Here is a 14,565-nt window from a genome sequence, read left to right as displayed (position 1 = left end):
CAGTGCCCCCTGCCTGATAACACCCACTGGCTCAACTCTGCCTCCAGATTCCGTCCACCTCGTTCCCTGGAACTCTACATTGACCTGGAAAATTTAGGGCATAACTTACGGGCAGAACTAGAAAGTCAGTCAGAATTCCAGGTCAGTTCAGTACCATGAAGTACTCACTTTTTCAGTAAGATTTTAGAGGTCAAAGAGAACTGAGATTTACAGTAAACTGGGGGAAAGATGACAAACGCTACACATGGTTCTGTGGGGCCAGCTCATTTGGGGTCAGTTTTAGAGCAGTTTGTCCTGGTGAGCAGCTGAAAGATGCAACAGGGTTCACCTGTGGTCTGCACACCAGCCAGCATAGCAGTCCTCCTGGGACCCTCCCAAGCACACGAGTCAAGGAAGGGATAATCAGAGTAGATGGAGCCCAGGAAGGCTCTTTTGAAAAGGAGGCTAAAAGTAGACTTTACAACTATTTACAGCATCTAAACAACATTTTCCATATGCTAAAAACATTTTCCAAATTTATTTAGAAATATTGGGGAGTTCCTCAATGACTGACTTGGTGGTATCAAGTCACCAGGGAGCTCCAAGGGAACTCCGAATTTATGCTGCCCTGTGGAATAATTGGAATGTTCTGTTGTGTAGCCAAAGGCACTTCAAGATGCTACTTAGTCATCTGAAGTAAAATGAGGCAGAAATCACATGCCAATGGCATTGCTCTGCTTGAGAATGAAGAACCAGGGAAGGACTTTCCATTATGAAGTGCCCTCGACCAGCGATGCAAGAGGGGCACCCGGGACCCACTCCATTACCACACCTGCCCCTCCACACCCATGGGAAGATTTGTTTTAGAAAAAGGTTTTAAATCTGCCCTATTCACAAGAGACAACTGTATGTGCTCTTAAAGTACTATTTTCCAAGGAGTAGGTTTGCAAATGACCTGGTGTCTCAGAGACGCCAGAGTCCACTACACACACAAACACACATATGCTCCACCCACACACAGGCACACTGTTGTGTGTTGACTTGAGTCATCTCCACAAGTTCTTATGTTGAACTCCTAACACCAAGGACCTCAGAATGTGACCTTATTTGGAGATCAGTCTTTACAGAGGTAATCACATTTAAGTGAGGTCACCAGGGTGGGCCCTAATCCAGTATGACTAGGGTCTTTAGAATAAGAGGAAATGTAGACACAGAGATGTGCATAGAGGGAACACAACTACTTATAAGCCAAGGAGAGGGGCCTGGAACAGATCCTTCCCTCACAGCCCTCCAAAGGAACCAACTCTGCTGAGGATTTTGTGCTTCTAGCCTCCCAACTGTAAGACTATAAATTTCTGTTGTTTAAGCCTCCCCCCACCAATGTGTGATACCTTGTCATGGCAACCCTAACAAACTAATCTATATACTCACACATACACACCCATGCATTTGTATTTGTGCATGCACACAAAAACACACACATTCACACAGTTGCCTGAGTCTCCCCTCAACCCAAGCTGCAAAAATAGGGTTGAGGTTAGATAAATACTCTATGGCAAAGTCACAGTTAGGTACTCCAGAAAAGTGGATTATACTCAGAGGCAGAGGGAGACATGAAAAACCAGCAAGCTAGGCTGAGGCTGCAAAAGCATAAACAGAGCCATCCCACACTTGATGACAGTGGAGTCTCTGGAGAGAAATGACCAGAGTAGAATCCAGCAGGTAACGTCTAGCTGCAGCTCACACCTCTACACCCTTTAAGTGTAGACTCTGAGCTTGGGGTGGGTTTTCTGAAAATAAATTTGCACTGTTTTGCCGTAACCTGATTTCGTTAGTTTCTGAGGGTGCCTTGCCCTGGGGGAAAAGAAGCCATTTTGAAACTTGGTCCTGGTTGACTGGGAAGTAAACTTCAATTTATGAAAGTCTAGCCACTGGGGTTTAAAGACAATTGATACCATTATGATCATCACGCAGCCAATATCTATGGTGCTCCTACTGTGTGCCTTGTCTGTGCCACATACCCTTCTATACCTTCTATTTAATCCTCCCATTAATGGCAAAGTGGGGATTATCATGCACTCTGCAGAGGGGCAGACCCCAGCCAATGGCAGCCACCTACCCCCTAGGGTCATCCCGCTGGTTAGGAACAGAGCTCTGGCTAGAAGCCATGAATCCCCAAAATGCAGCAGTGCTCATAGAAGCCGCACCAGGCAGCTCAGGAAGGAGCAGACCCAAGAAGCGTTTGGGCTAATGCAAATAAAAGAAAAAAATCTGAAGGCCAGGACCAGTGGCTCACACCTGTAAAATCCCAGTGCTGGGAGGCTGAAGCGGGAGAATCGATCACTTGGGTCCAGGAGTTTGAGACCAGCCTGGGCAACGTAGTGAGACCTTGTCTCTACAAAATTTGAAAAGTAGCCAGGTTCGGTGGCATGCACCTATAGTACAGCTACTTGGGAGGCTGAGGCAGGAGGAACTTGAGCCTGGGAGGTCAAGGCTACAGTGAGCCATGATCAAAAAAGAAAAAACCTTAAGAAGTGTCTGTAATGTAAGGCAGCAAGAGACGACTTTGAAAGCGTAGGCCAGCTGCTAGGAGCTTTGGGAAGGCCTCATTTCTCTTCTAGGTCTTAGTTTTCTGGTCGGTAAAATGAGATCCCAGGTACATAAACCCTCACAATTCACTTCTCCTAATCTCTGTAAGTTCTGTGCTTTTAGCATGAACTTTGGGCAAAGGTGAACTCATTTTGAGTGGGCAGAGTCTCAAGAAAGCCTGTGAGAGGATAGGAGCAGCAGCTGCCTTGGAAACCAGGTGATACTTTTGCTGAGAGGGATTTTAAGAGTTCCTAGAAGGAGGCGCAGCTTGTAGACAATCCCCTTGTCAGAACTTTATCTCTTTAACGGAAGGATTTTATTCTGCTAAATGTAACTTTCCCATTTGTGACAGTCACCAGTCACCTTAGTGTGACAGAAAGTTCCAAAAACAGGTTTGAAGGGGTCAGGAAGGAATGAGGTCCTCAGGGTAGAGAGGCTGGCTTCAAACACAGTTAAGAGCCAGCCCATTGCCTGGAATTGCAAAGTAGCAGGTGCAGGGGAAAGGGTGGCACTAGGAAGGTTCCCCTCCCTGCTTCCTGGTGCTTAGCGAAGCTGGGGCAGCTTTTCAAGCTGCTCCAAGGCCCAATTCAAGGCACACAGAGAAGGAAGCCTGGGCCTCACAACCGCCCTTCCTCCTCACATGCCCAGTCTTGTCCTCTCCCTCCTTACCTTTCAGGTAGGTTCCTCCTCCAAGCCCCGTCACCAAAAGACCCTACATCTCAGCATGGAGCCAGGTCTTTAAAACAATTTGCCCTTACATGTGAATCAGATGGGAATACTTACAATTTAAGACAGGAGTTTGTTTACCCAAAGGAATCCCTGATTGGAGTAAAGTGTGGGAAACTAAGACACACTTAGCCCTTAATTTATTAAGGGGAAAATGATGAGAAAAGGCAAACAGAAACAGCAACTCTCTTTAGAAAGGCTTAAAGAACACCCAGACCTGGTAATGCTTCTCTGGTGCTCAGGGCATAGAAAGCTACAGAGCAGAGGGTTGAGAAGAATCCACAAGAACATACAAACATATGGACCCCTCAGCTATGTCATGCACTATGATCTCATTTATTCCTGTTAGAAATATTATTTGAAATACTATTTTATAAAAAAAAAAATAGTTGTCAACTCCCGGCCTTCGCCCTCCCCACTGCATCCTGCAGTCTTTCAGTGTTTCCTACAACTGTCTCCAATATTGCTGATCAAAAAGCAGGCTTTTGGCCCGGGCGCAGTGGCTTATGCCTGTAATCCCGGCACTTTGGGAGGCCAAGCCAGGCAAATCACCTGAGGTCAGGAGTTCAAGACCAGCCTGGCCAACATGGTGAAACCTTGTCTCTACTCAAAAATACAAAAATTAGCCGGGTGTAGTGGCACATGCCTGTAATCCCAGCTACTCGGGAGGCTGAGGGCAGGAGAATCACTTGAATCCAGGAGGCAGAGGTTGCAGTGAGCCGAGATCGCACCACTGCACTCCAGCCTGGGCAACAGAGCAAGACTCTGTCTCAAAAACAAAGGGCAGGCTTTCAGAGAGAAGAGGGTCTGAAGCCCTAATGTGTGTTGTATTTCATTCCAGAACCAGGTGAAGCTACTGGTGACATTTAAGGGAAAGGCACTGAGAAGTCTAGCAGGCCAATAAAATGTCCCCATCCCCTGACATGCACCCCATTTCTACCCCGAATCTGTTGAGTTCCCTTGTCAAGGATCTTAGACTCAAAAGATGACTCTGCTGTCTGCCTCAGGCATGGTATCTCATCTCCTGCAGGAGCAATGGCACCATCTTGTTGCATTGGGGAGGACAGAGTTTTAGAAGAAATGTATCACAATCTTATTTATAACAGTGAAAACCTATAGGTGATGAAAATGTGTAGTCTAAGTATCAGCATCTGAAAATTTTGATTTGTATAACTAATAGAATGCTATGCAACCTGTGAAAAGGATATTTATCATAATTGCATGACAACCTGAAATGATGCTATATAAATAGGTATGTGCAAAAGGGGTGTAGAGTTCAAGTTAAGAATCAACTTTGGCATCCGACAGACCTGGGGCCCTTCTCTGTAAAATGGCATAATACCACTGCTAACTTAGGGAGCAGTTGTAAAACATGACATGCTCACCACAGGGCTTGCCATACGGTAAAATGATTCAACCAATGGTGGCTCAAATAGAAATAAACTAGGAAAATATTCACAACTCACGTTATTATAATGGCTTGATGGTGTTAAAATATAAAGGACCCTTGCAATCGATAAAAAAGGTCAACAACCCAAACATAAAACTAGACAAAAGATATGGATAGACGGTTCACAAAAAGAAATATAAACTATTCTTAGACATACAGAATGACTCTCAATCCCATTTATAAAAAAGAAACACAAAAACTACAAGTTTTCCACCTATATATTAGTTATCAGCATGTAATGAGAGAGGTACCCTCATCCAACTCCATAAAGTTGGATGGCAATTTGGCAACGTGGACCCCACTTTAAAATACACAATGCTTTTGACCCAGTGGTTATACTTCCAAGAATTTATACTACAACCATAGAAGCACACGTAGAAAATGATCTATACACAAGGATCTCCAATGCCGCAATCTTTGCAATAATAAAAGACTAGAAATAACCTAAATTAATAGGGAACTGTTATCTTCTTTTTCTTTTCTTTTTTTTTTTTTTTTTTTGAGATGGAGTCTCGCTCTGTCACCAGGCTGGAGTGCAGTGGCATGATCTTGACTCACTGCAACCTCTGCCTCCCGGGTTCAAGCAAATCTCCTGCTTCAGCCTCCCGAGCAGCTGGGCCTACAGGCGCCCACCACCACACCCAGCTAATTTTTGTATTTTTAGTAGAGACGGATTTTTACCATGTTGGCCAGGATGGTCTCGATCTCTTGACCTCATGATTTGCCCACTTCGGCCTCCCAAAGTGCTGGGATTACAGGCGTGAACCACTGTGCCTGGCCTGATGTTTTCATTAAATGGAATATCATACAACTTTAAAAGAACAGAAGAACTCCCAGCTCTATGATAATTTATATGTAGCAATCTTCAAAATCTACTAATAAATGCTATGGAACATTTTATAAAGAGCACGTTACCTTTGATGTTAACAAACATGAATATGAATAATCTTATATGTACATATTTTTATTTGTATATATGTAGGTATGTGTGTATCTATATTTGCATATTCATAAGCTATCCCTGGAAGGACACATAAGAAACCGATCACAGAGATTTTCTCTGGAATGGGGAAGGGAGTCACTGGACATCAGGTGTAGGTAAGCTTCTATTCACTGTGTTCTTTTCTACACCTTTCCAATGTTAGAATATGTGCATATATTAACTTCTGAAAAAAGGAAGTAAGCATTTAAAAAATACAGAGAGACAGGTGGGAAAGCACTAAAAGGAAATATGGCACTCCTGATGGGTGATTAGGCACCTGGAGGAGATAAATTCACTCTCTACAAGTCAAGAAGGCTGGGAGCAGTGGCTGATACCTGTAATCCCAGCACTTTGGGAGGCCGAGGCGAGCAGATCACTTAAGGACAGGAGCTTGAGACCAGCCTGGCCAACGTTGCGAAATCCTGTCTCTACTAAAAATACAAAAAATTAGCCGGGCGTGGTGGTGGGCTCCTGTAGTCCCAGCTACTTAGGAGGCAGAGGCAGGAGAATCACTTGAACCTGGGAGGTAGAGGTTGCAGTGAGCCGAGATTGTGCTACTGCACTCCAGCCTGGGTGATAGGCAAGACTCCATCTCAAAAACCAAAATTAAATTAAATAATAAAATAAGGATATAATTTGTGTGTGTGTGTGTATATTTCTGTATATATACATGGAATATATATATATAATATATATTCCATTTTATAAAAAGATCAGTTCCCTATTAATTTAGGTTATTTCTAGTCTTTTATTGTTGCAAACATTGTGGCATTGGAGATCCTTGAATATAGATCATTTTCTACATGTGCCTCCATGGCTGTAGTAGAAATTCTTGGAAGTAGAACTACATACACACACACACACACACACACACACACACACACACAAAACGACATATATATATATATGTATCTTACACTATATATATACACTTTATTCTATATACATAGTTTGCCCTCTCTCTATAGTTCTCTCTCTCTCTCTCTCTATATATATATAGCTTATCTGTGGCTGCTGTGGTTTCAATGTGTCTCCCAAAAATTCATGTGTTGGAAACTTAATCCCAAATACAACAGTGTTGAGAGATGGGACCTTGAAGAGGCGATAAGGTCATGAGGGCTCTGACCTCACGAATGGTCAACCCAGGAATGGATTCATTATCAAAGTAAGACTGGCTCTCTCTTGTCTCTCACAGGCTGTATGCTCTTTTGCCCTCTGACCTTCTTCTATGGGATGAGACAGCCTCCAGAAATGTAAGAACCAAATCTCTATTCTTTATAAATTACTCAGACTCAGGTATACTCTTTCAGCAGCAGAAATTAGACAAAGACAGTGGTTAACCCTGGAGAATAGGAATGGGGAAACTCAGTGCTAAAGGGGTGATGAAAAGCTGAAGTGGAGTCCATGGTTTTTATTTCATAGAGATGTGGATTATTGGCAGGGTACAGTGGCTCGTGTCTGTAATCCCAGCACTTGGGGAGGCTGAGGTGGGAAGATAACTTGAGCCCAGGAGTTCGAGACCAGCCTGGGCAACATAGTGGGACCCCATCTCTACAAAAAATAATTTTAAAAAATGAACCGGGCATGGTGGCATGAACCTATAGTCCCAGCTACTTGGGAGGCTGAGGCCGGAGGAACACATGAGCCTGGGAGGTTGAGGCTGCAGTGAGCTGTGATCACATCACTGCACTCCAGTCTGGGCAACAGAATGAGACCCTGTCTCAAAAGGCAAACAAACAAGAAACAAAAACAAAACAAAAACAAACAAAGATGCATATGACTGAGCATGTATTAGTATTGTAATTGGAAAAGCAAGGATTGAGAGTATCATACATAAATTAAAAAGTTACAAATTCAAGCTTTAAATACATTTAGACTTTTAAACGGCCAGGGCTCATCTACTTGTTAGGTTTTACAGCACCTCTGATCTCCATTTTCCATCCACATATTAAAAAGTGAGGTCTTTCATAGAGCCACAGTGAACAAATGTGTACCAAAACTTGGCCATCTCTTGAGGAGGTTTTGCTTTCTGGCTGTAATTTATTATCTGTTTAGGAGTACTCTCACTCTACACAGCTGTATGACAATATCACCTTCCGTTTTCACTGAAGATGAGTTATTGGCTCACTGCTATACATAGACATTTTCCTTCCAAGAGCTGCCTGTTCCCAGAAAAGTTGTGAAACACGCTGTGAGTAACCAGATTCCCCCTTGGGAATCAAATGTCGTAGAATTTCATGAACTATGTCACAGACAGAATATGTCATAGGAAAATCCCATTGAAGAATTTCCCAAGGACTGATCAGTCAAGTAGAGAACAAAAAATAGGAGGCCGGCTTATCCATTATTCTAAGCAATAGTCATTTTTTTTTGTTCCATTTAACTTAAATGTACAGGAGAGTCAATCTAGTAATCTCCTCACCTACCTACAAGGTGCGCGTGCACGCGCACACGCACACGCACACACATGCGCACACACACACACGCACACACACACGCACACACGGGCTCATTAAATTTGAGTCCCATTTTTTCTTTTAGTATTTTAAAATTTTGAGTAGTTTTAAAAATAATATTTTGGGTTTGTTCAATCTAGTCTTCCATAGGCAAAAAGCACCATATCTCTTATTAATGTTTAAAGTGAATGCTGGGGCTTGGAACAGAATGTAACTCTGCACTTAGGCAATCCCAAATTCCATACTGATTATGTATGGGATTCCTACCCTTCTGTTACTCAATTCCTATCCATCCGGTGGAGCCTGAGGGTCTAAGGTCAGTGGTGGACTCTATGGGAGCTGAGTCCAGGGAACAGAACAGGTCTCTCTCGTAGATTTACCCACCATGTTCTTCCCTGCTCAAAGGCAGGTGTTACATGGCAAACCTTCACTTCTCCAAGACAATGTTCACAATGCCAGAGGAGAAAGAAAAACCATCAGAGATGCTTTTTCGATGAAATCATTGGTGAGTTCTAAGAACACTTAACAAAAGGACCTACCACTTTCCAACAGGAAAATGGTTTGATCTGATGGAATCAGCTACCTATTGATTGCAGGGAAACTGGTGGAAGGTTCTAAAAGGTTTAGAGATCCCTGCACAGAACCACCCCCACGATCGTGGATATCAGCATCACTGTGAATTGCCACCCACTCTGGGAACTCATGAATAGTCTTGTCTCAAGTTTCTTCAAAAGCACAAAGCCTCATGTGAAGCCAGGCTGTGCAGCAAACAGAACTCTAATCCAATTCACTCTGACACACTCTGGCAGGAAAAGAGAACTCGAGGAAAGTCCAGATGGTCAGTCTGAGAGTCCTGCTCCACTAGGGTTAAGTGGTAATTCTGGATCAGGACAGGCACTGGGGACACTGGCCTGATGAGAAATAGGACACGGCAGGCAGCCAAGGGGCAATGAAGACTCGAGCCAGGGCCGCTAATTTTTCTCCCATCTCATGCAGCAAACGGATGCCACTCTCTACAAGGGATTCTGAGCATGGTACCAGAGGTGCACTTGTGGTTTAAAGAAAAAGATATTTGCCCTTGACACTGACGACCTGACCCTGGTTCTGACTGTGATTCTGCCCCAGCCCTGGCCTTTACCCAGAACCAGGGGGACCACATGGATTCACACCTCTCTTGCCTATAGCTCTGCTCTCCCAAGCCCACCCTGGACCAGCACTGCTGGACCATCCTCTGGGAAAAGTTTAGGCAGCCAGACTCTGGGAGCAGCTGAGGGCTGGTCAGCTGTTTCCGTCCACTGCTTTTACGGCTCTGAATGCCAGGAAGGAACCTCTGCAGGAGAAGGAAAGCATGGAATTTCTCCATTCACCACTGGGATGCATGATAAGCATAAGCCAGCAGGGATACGGGGAGCAGTGGGGAGTCGTGGGAGGGTATTTTACTTTGTGCAAAGAAATGTGCTCCTTCTCTTAATGCAAACGAAACCGACTACTACCTTCTCTCATTTATGAAGAATCTCTCTGCCCGACTGTGGAATCCCAGGAGCACAGCCGGATGGTTGAGAGCCAATAAGTAATACTGATTATGGAAACAGGATGAAGTCTGAGAACCAGAAACAAGGAAGGGATCGCCATTTGCTTGCAAAGCCTCTGCTTCATCCTGTTTACCCTCCAGAGACCCTCTTTGATCCCAGGGCTGCCTGCTGTTGACCGTTTTGCTGCCATAGGTTTTAGACTCTTTGTTCTACGTTTGTTTATATGTGGTAAAGTGATACGGTGGGAAGTACACAAATCTAGAGAAAAGCAGGTCAGGGTTTGTGAATCCTTGGGTATCATAAACTGATTGTGTGATGCTTATGCAAGGGATTTTCTCCTCCCTGAGACTCTGGGTCATCATCTGTTAAATGGGTATAATAAGTACTGAAGTGAGTCAAATAGTGCCCCGCCCCAAAATTCATGTCCACCCGGAACCTCAGAATGTAACACTTGGAAATAGGATCTTTGCGGATATAATTTGTTAAGATGAGATCATACTGGGTGAGAGTGGGCCCCAAATCCAGTGACTGGTGTCTTTATAAGGGAAAGAGAGGGCATGCAGATATACACACAGAGGAAACTCCATGTGAATCTGGAGGCAGAATTTGGAATGATTCATTTACAAGTCAAGAAATGTTACACATTGCTAGCAACCACGAGAAGCTAGGAGAAAGGCATGGAACGGATTCTCCCTCAAAGCCTCCAGAAGGAACCAACCCTGCCATCTGTAATTTCAGACTTCAGGACTCCTGAACTGTGAGAGAACAAATTGCTATTGTTTTCAACCACGTAATTTGTGAGAATTTGTTATAGCTGCCCTAGGAAATCAATACACCTACCTTCTGAGGCTGTTATGAGGATTTCCAAGAGGACAGAATGTGAAGGCAGCTGGCCCCACAATGGGAACATGGTAGGACTTCAATGCCAGGTAGTTCACTGTTGCCCTCTACTCTGGCCACAGGCTAATTATAGCATTTTTCGAGCCTTCTCAGAGGTGGGTTGCCCCAACATATTCATGCTTTTTAAAACTTGTAGACAGGGCCGGGTATGGTGGCTCACGTCTGTAATCCCAGCACTTTGGGAGGCCGAGGCAGGTGGATCACCTGAGGTCAGAAGTTCGAGACCAGCCTGGCCAACATGATGAAAACCCATCTCTACTAAAAATACAAAAAATTAGCCTGTTGTGGTGGCAGGCGCCTGTAATCCCATACTCCCAGCTACTTGGGAGGCTGAGGCAGGAGAATTGCTTGAATCCGGGAGGCAGAAGTTGCAGTGAGCCGAGATTGTGCCACTACACTCCAGCCTGGGCAACAAGAGCAAAACTCTGTCTAAAAAAAAAAAAAGTCCAGGTGCAGTGGCTCACTTTGGGAGGCCAAGTTGGGCAGATCACAAGGTCCACAAGGTCAAGAAATCGAGACCATCCTGGTCAACATGGTGAAACCCCATCTCTACTAAAATTACAAAAATTAGCTGGGCATGGTGGTGCACGCCTGTAGTTCCAGCTACCCGGGAGGCTGAATCAGGAGAATCTCTTGAACCTGGGAGGTGGAGGTTGCAGTGAGCTGAGATCGCACCACTGCACTCCAGCCTGGTGACAGAGTGAGATTCCATCTCAAAAAAAAAAAAAAGAAAAAAACAAAAACAAAAACAAAAAGACAAACAACAACAACAAAAATAAAAACCTGTAGATAAAACAGAAACAGCAAAGAATACCTGTGGAATAAGGGCATATCAACCAGCAAAGGCTGCAGGCTTATCGACTGCCCAGCTGGAGCAGAAGCATACATGTATGCTGTTGTACACAGAAGCCAGGTTACAAAGCCTGTCACAGAGCTGGCAATGGTAATGTACCCTGTCAAACTGGAGAAGGAACAAAGAGCCCGAGAGTCCTCAAAGGCATTAGCAACTTTAGTTGATGATGAGGTGCTCATAACCTTTGTTGAGCATTTATGATATGCTGGGCATTAGACCATGCGATTTTTATGCATAATTACATTTATTCCTCAAAACAAGCGTAGGAGGTCAGTACTCTTGATAGCTGTAGTTTACATATCAGGAAACCAAGGTTCAGAGAGTTTTAAGTGACTTGCCCAAGGGCTCCAGCCATAAGTGCTAAAGCTGGGATTGAACTGGAGGAAAATCTGTCTCAGGGCCTTTAACCACTATCTTGCCTCTTGTAGATACAAAGGTGGAAACTGGGACAATCTCGACTAGAAACTTAACAAGGAAGACCGGCTTCAAGATTCTTTTTCTACTTTATCATATACTCTAAATGGGTCCTAGAACTATTTGCATGTGCTTGCTGGCTTAGCTGGTATGCCAGTTTCCTTGACAGGAAATATAGATGATATGGATGATGATGGTAACAATTATTAATTGAATACCTACAATGTGTAGACATTTACATACATTATCTCAATAAATCCTCATGGCAACTCTGTGAAATAGGGCTAATCCGTATTTTGTGGATGAACACATTGAAGCTCAGAGCTTAAGTAATTTGCCCAAAGACACAAAACAAGGAGGGGCACAGTTGAGAGCCAAGCCCTGGCCTGTCCAGCTCTCCAAAGCCCACTATAAAGAAGCACATCTTGACATCCTTTTTGCTCTTCCAAAACACATGATGTGTCATGGCTCACTGAATCTAAGAATTCACTTTGAGCTCTTAGCTGTATCTCGGATGGTAATCTTCAAGGGCTGTGTCTCCCACCTGTACCTGCTTAAAGATGCCTGGAGTTCTCTAAATACTCCAGGTGAGTGACTTTCTCTTCAGCTGAGTGGTTGGAATTCTCTAGATAATGTCTGGCCACTCCCAAGAATGACTGTTTGTCTTATATACAGGTTCGAGCACAACAGCAGGGATCCTACAATAGCAGAGAGCTGCCATTCCGTTCTGGCCATGGACCCCTCCCCAACATGCAGGGCAGAAGGTGGGGATCTGAAAACAGGAAATGACAGGGGCTGGGTGTGGGAGTGGGGGCTTCAATGCTGCAGGAACACAAGCAACAAACATCTCAAGCTGTGCAATGCTAGAAGGCAGCTGGAACCAAAACGTTGACTGGAGGATGATGCAGCTTTGTTGTATTTTAAAATGTTCATCCTTCCATTTTTTTTCCTTTAGTTTTTCTGAGCACGCTGGATGCAAAATAAAAATAAAAATAAAAATAAAAATAAACATGTAGCCCTGAACCATACTCTCCACATTGGTGATCACTTGCAAAACCTCAGAATTGGTGCAGATGGTGCAAAATTCCTTTTTCTCATCTTAGCAATTCATTTTGCCGTTAGGGGATGGGAAAGCAAGGCAAAGACTTTATCTGCAAAGGCTGTGGTGGTGGCAAGGGGTTTGCCAGCTCCCAACTTAGTCAAGTCCCCTCAATTTCACTATGCAATGCTGCAATGCACCATTCAGCATGTCATCATTTCAGTAACATGGCTCAACTTCTTATGAAAAATATTATTTAAAAATTACTTCTTGAGGCCAGGTGTAGTGGCTTATGCCTATATTTCCAGCACTTTGGGAGGCCAAAGCAGGAGGATTACTTGAGGCCAGGAGCTCAAGACCAGCCTAGGCAACGTAATGAGACCCCATCTCTACAAATAATTAAAAGAAATACCCGGGTTTGGTGGTGCATGCCTGTGACCCCAGCTATTCACGAGGCTGAGGTCAGAGGATCACTGGAGCCTGAGCCATTGAGACTGCAGTGAGCCGTAATCTTGCCACTGTACTCCAGCCTGGGTGACAGAGCAAGACTCCGTCTCAAAAAAAAAAAAAAAAAAAAAAAGAAGAAAGAAAGAAAAGAAAAAAGGAAAAAAAAATGCTTCTTGATTTCACTCTGTAATTCAGGCTTAATAAATTTCTATAAGGCTAATGAATTTCAGAATTGGGATATGAACAAAAACAATATCCTGAGAGAAGAGCTGTTTAAAACATTTAGCCTAATTAGATTCATAGATCTAACTCTCCTTCCTCTCTTGTAAGCCTGGATCGCATCATTTGGAGTATTTAAGAATTCAGGAGCATAGGCCAGGCATGGTGGCTCACGCCTGTAATCCCAGCACTTTGGGAGGCTGGGGCAGGTGGATCATTTGAGGGCGGGAGTTTGAGACTAGCCTTGCCAACATTGTGAAACCCTGACTCTACTAAAAATACAAAAATTAGCCAGGGATGGTGGCAGGTGCCTGTAATCCCAGCTACTCAGGAGGCTGAGGCAGGAGAATCGCTTGAACCCGGGAGGCAGAGGTTGCAGTGAGCCAAGATCGTACCACTGCACTCCAGGTTGGATGATAGTGAGACTCCATCTCAAAAAAAAAAAAAAAAAAAAAAAAGAGTTCAGAAACATGAATGCACCATAAACACCACGTCCACATCTAGGACTCCAGAGGTCTCAGGGGTAAAGAAAGTTAGGAGTGTGGTCCAGTCTGTAATCTGACCCCCAGCCACCCTAAAGGGTGCTCTAGATCAGCAGTGCCACTGTGGTTTGCTCTGGGTCTTCCTTCCCCCATCAAAGCTAAGAACAGACTTTTTCTGGGGATCTGAAACTCACCAAGCCCTGACTAGGGCACCATTTAGAAACCAAAAGAAGCCTAAGATGCTGCCCAACAACTAGGCCCTCAATAAATGTCCCTCGGACTATTTATTTATTCTGATTAAGAAAAAAGAAGTGTATACATTTATGGTATGCAACTTGATATTTTGAAATACATATGCTTTGTGGAATGACTAAATCAAGCTAATTACTATATGTTACCTCACATATGTGTGAGGAGAACACTTAAAATCTACCCTCTTAGCAACTTTCAAGTACAATATATAATACATCATTATTAACTATAGTCACCATGTTGTA

The 14,565-nt window shown here is 43.9% G+C and overlaps 1 protein-coding gene across 15 annotated transcripts in view; it reads right to left on the bottom strand.

The window, feature by feature from the left end:
- The window catches only part of PALM2AKAP2 (PALM2 and AKAP2 fusion), a 531,726-nt gene that overhangs the window by 47,926 nt on the left and 469,235 nt on the right, over positions 1-14,565 (bottom strand). The gene's annotated exons all lie outside the window — the stretch shown is intronic.

This window comes from Homo sapiens, chromosome 9 (assembly GCF_000001405.40).
Source record: "Homo sapiens chromosome 9, GRCh38.p14 Primary Assembly".
Classification (NCBI taxonomy): domain Eukaryota; kingdom Metazoa; phylum Chordata; class Mammalia; order Primates; family Hominidae; genus Homo; species Homo sapiens.
Note: the sequence above shows the minus strand (reverse complement) of the source record. Positions and strands in the feature narration are given on the sequence as shown.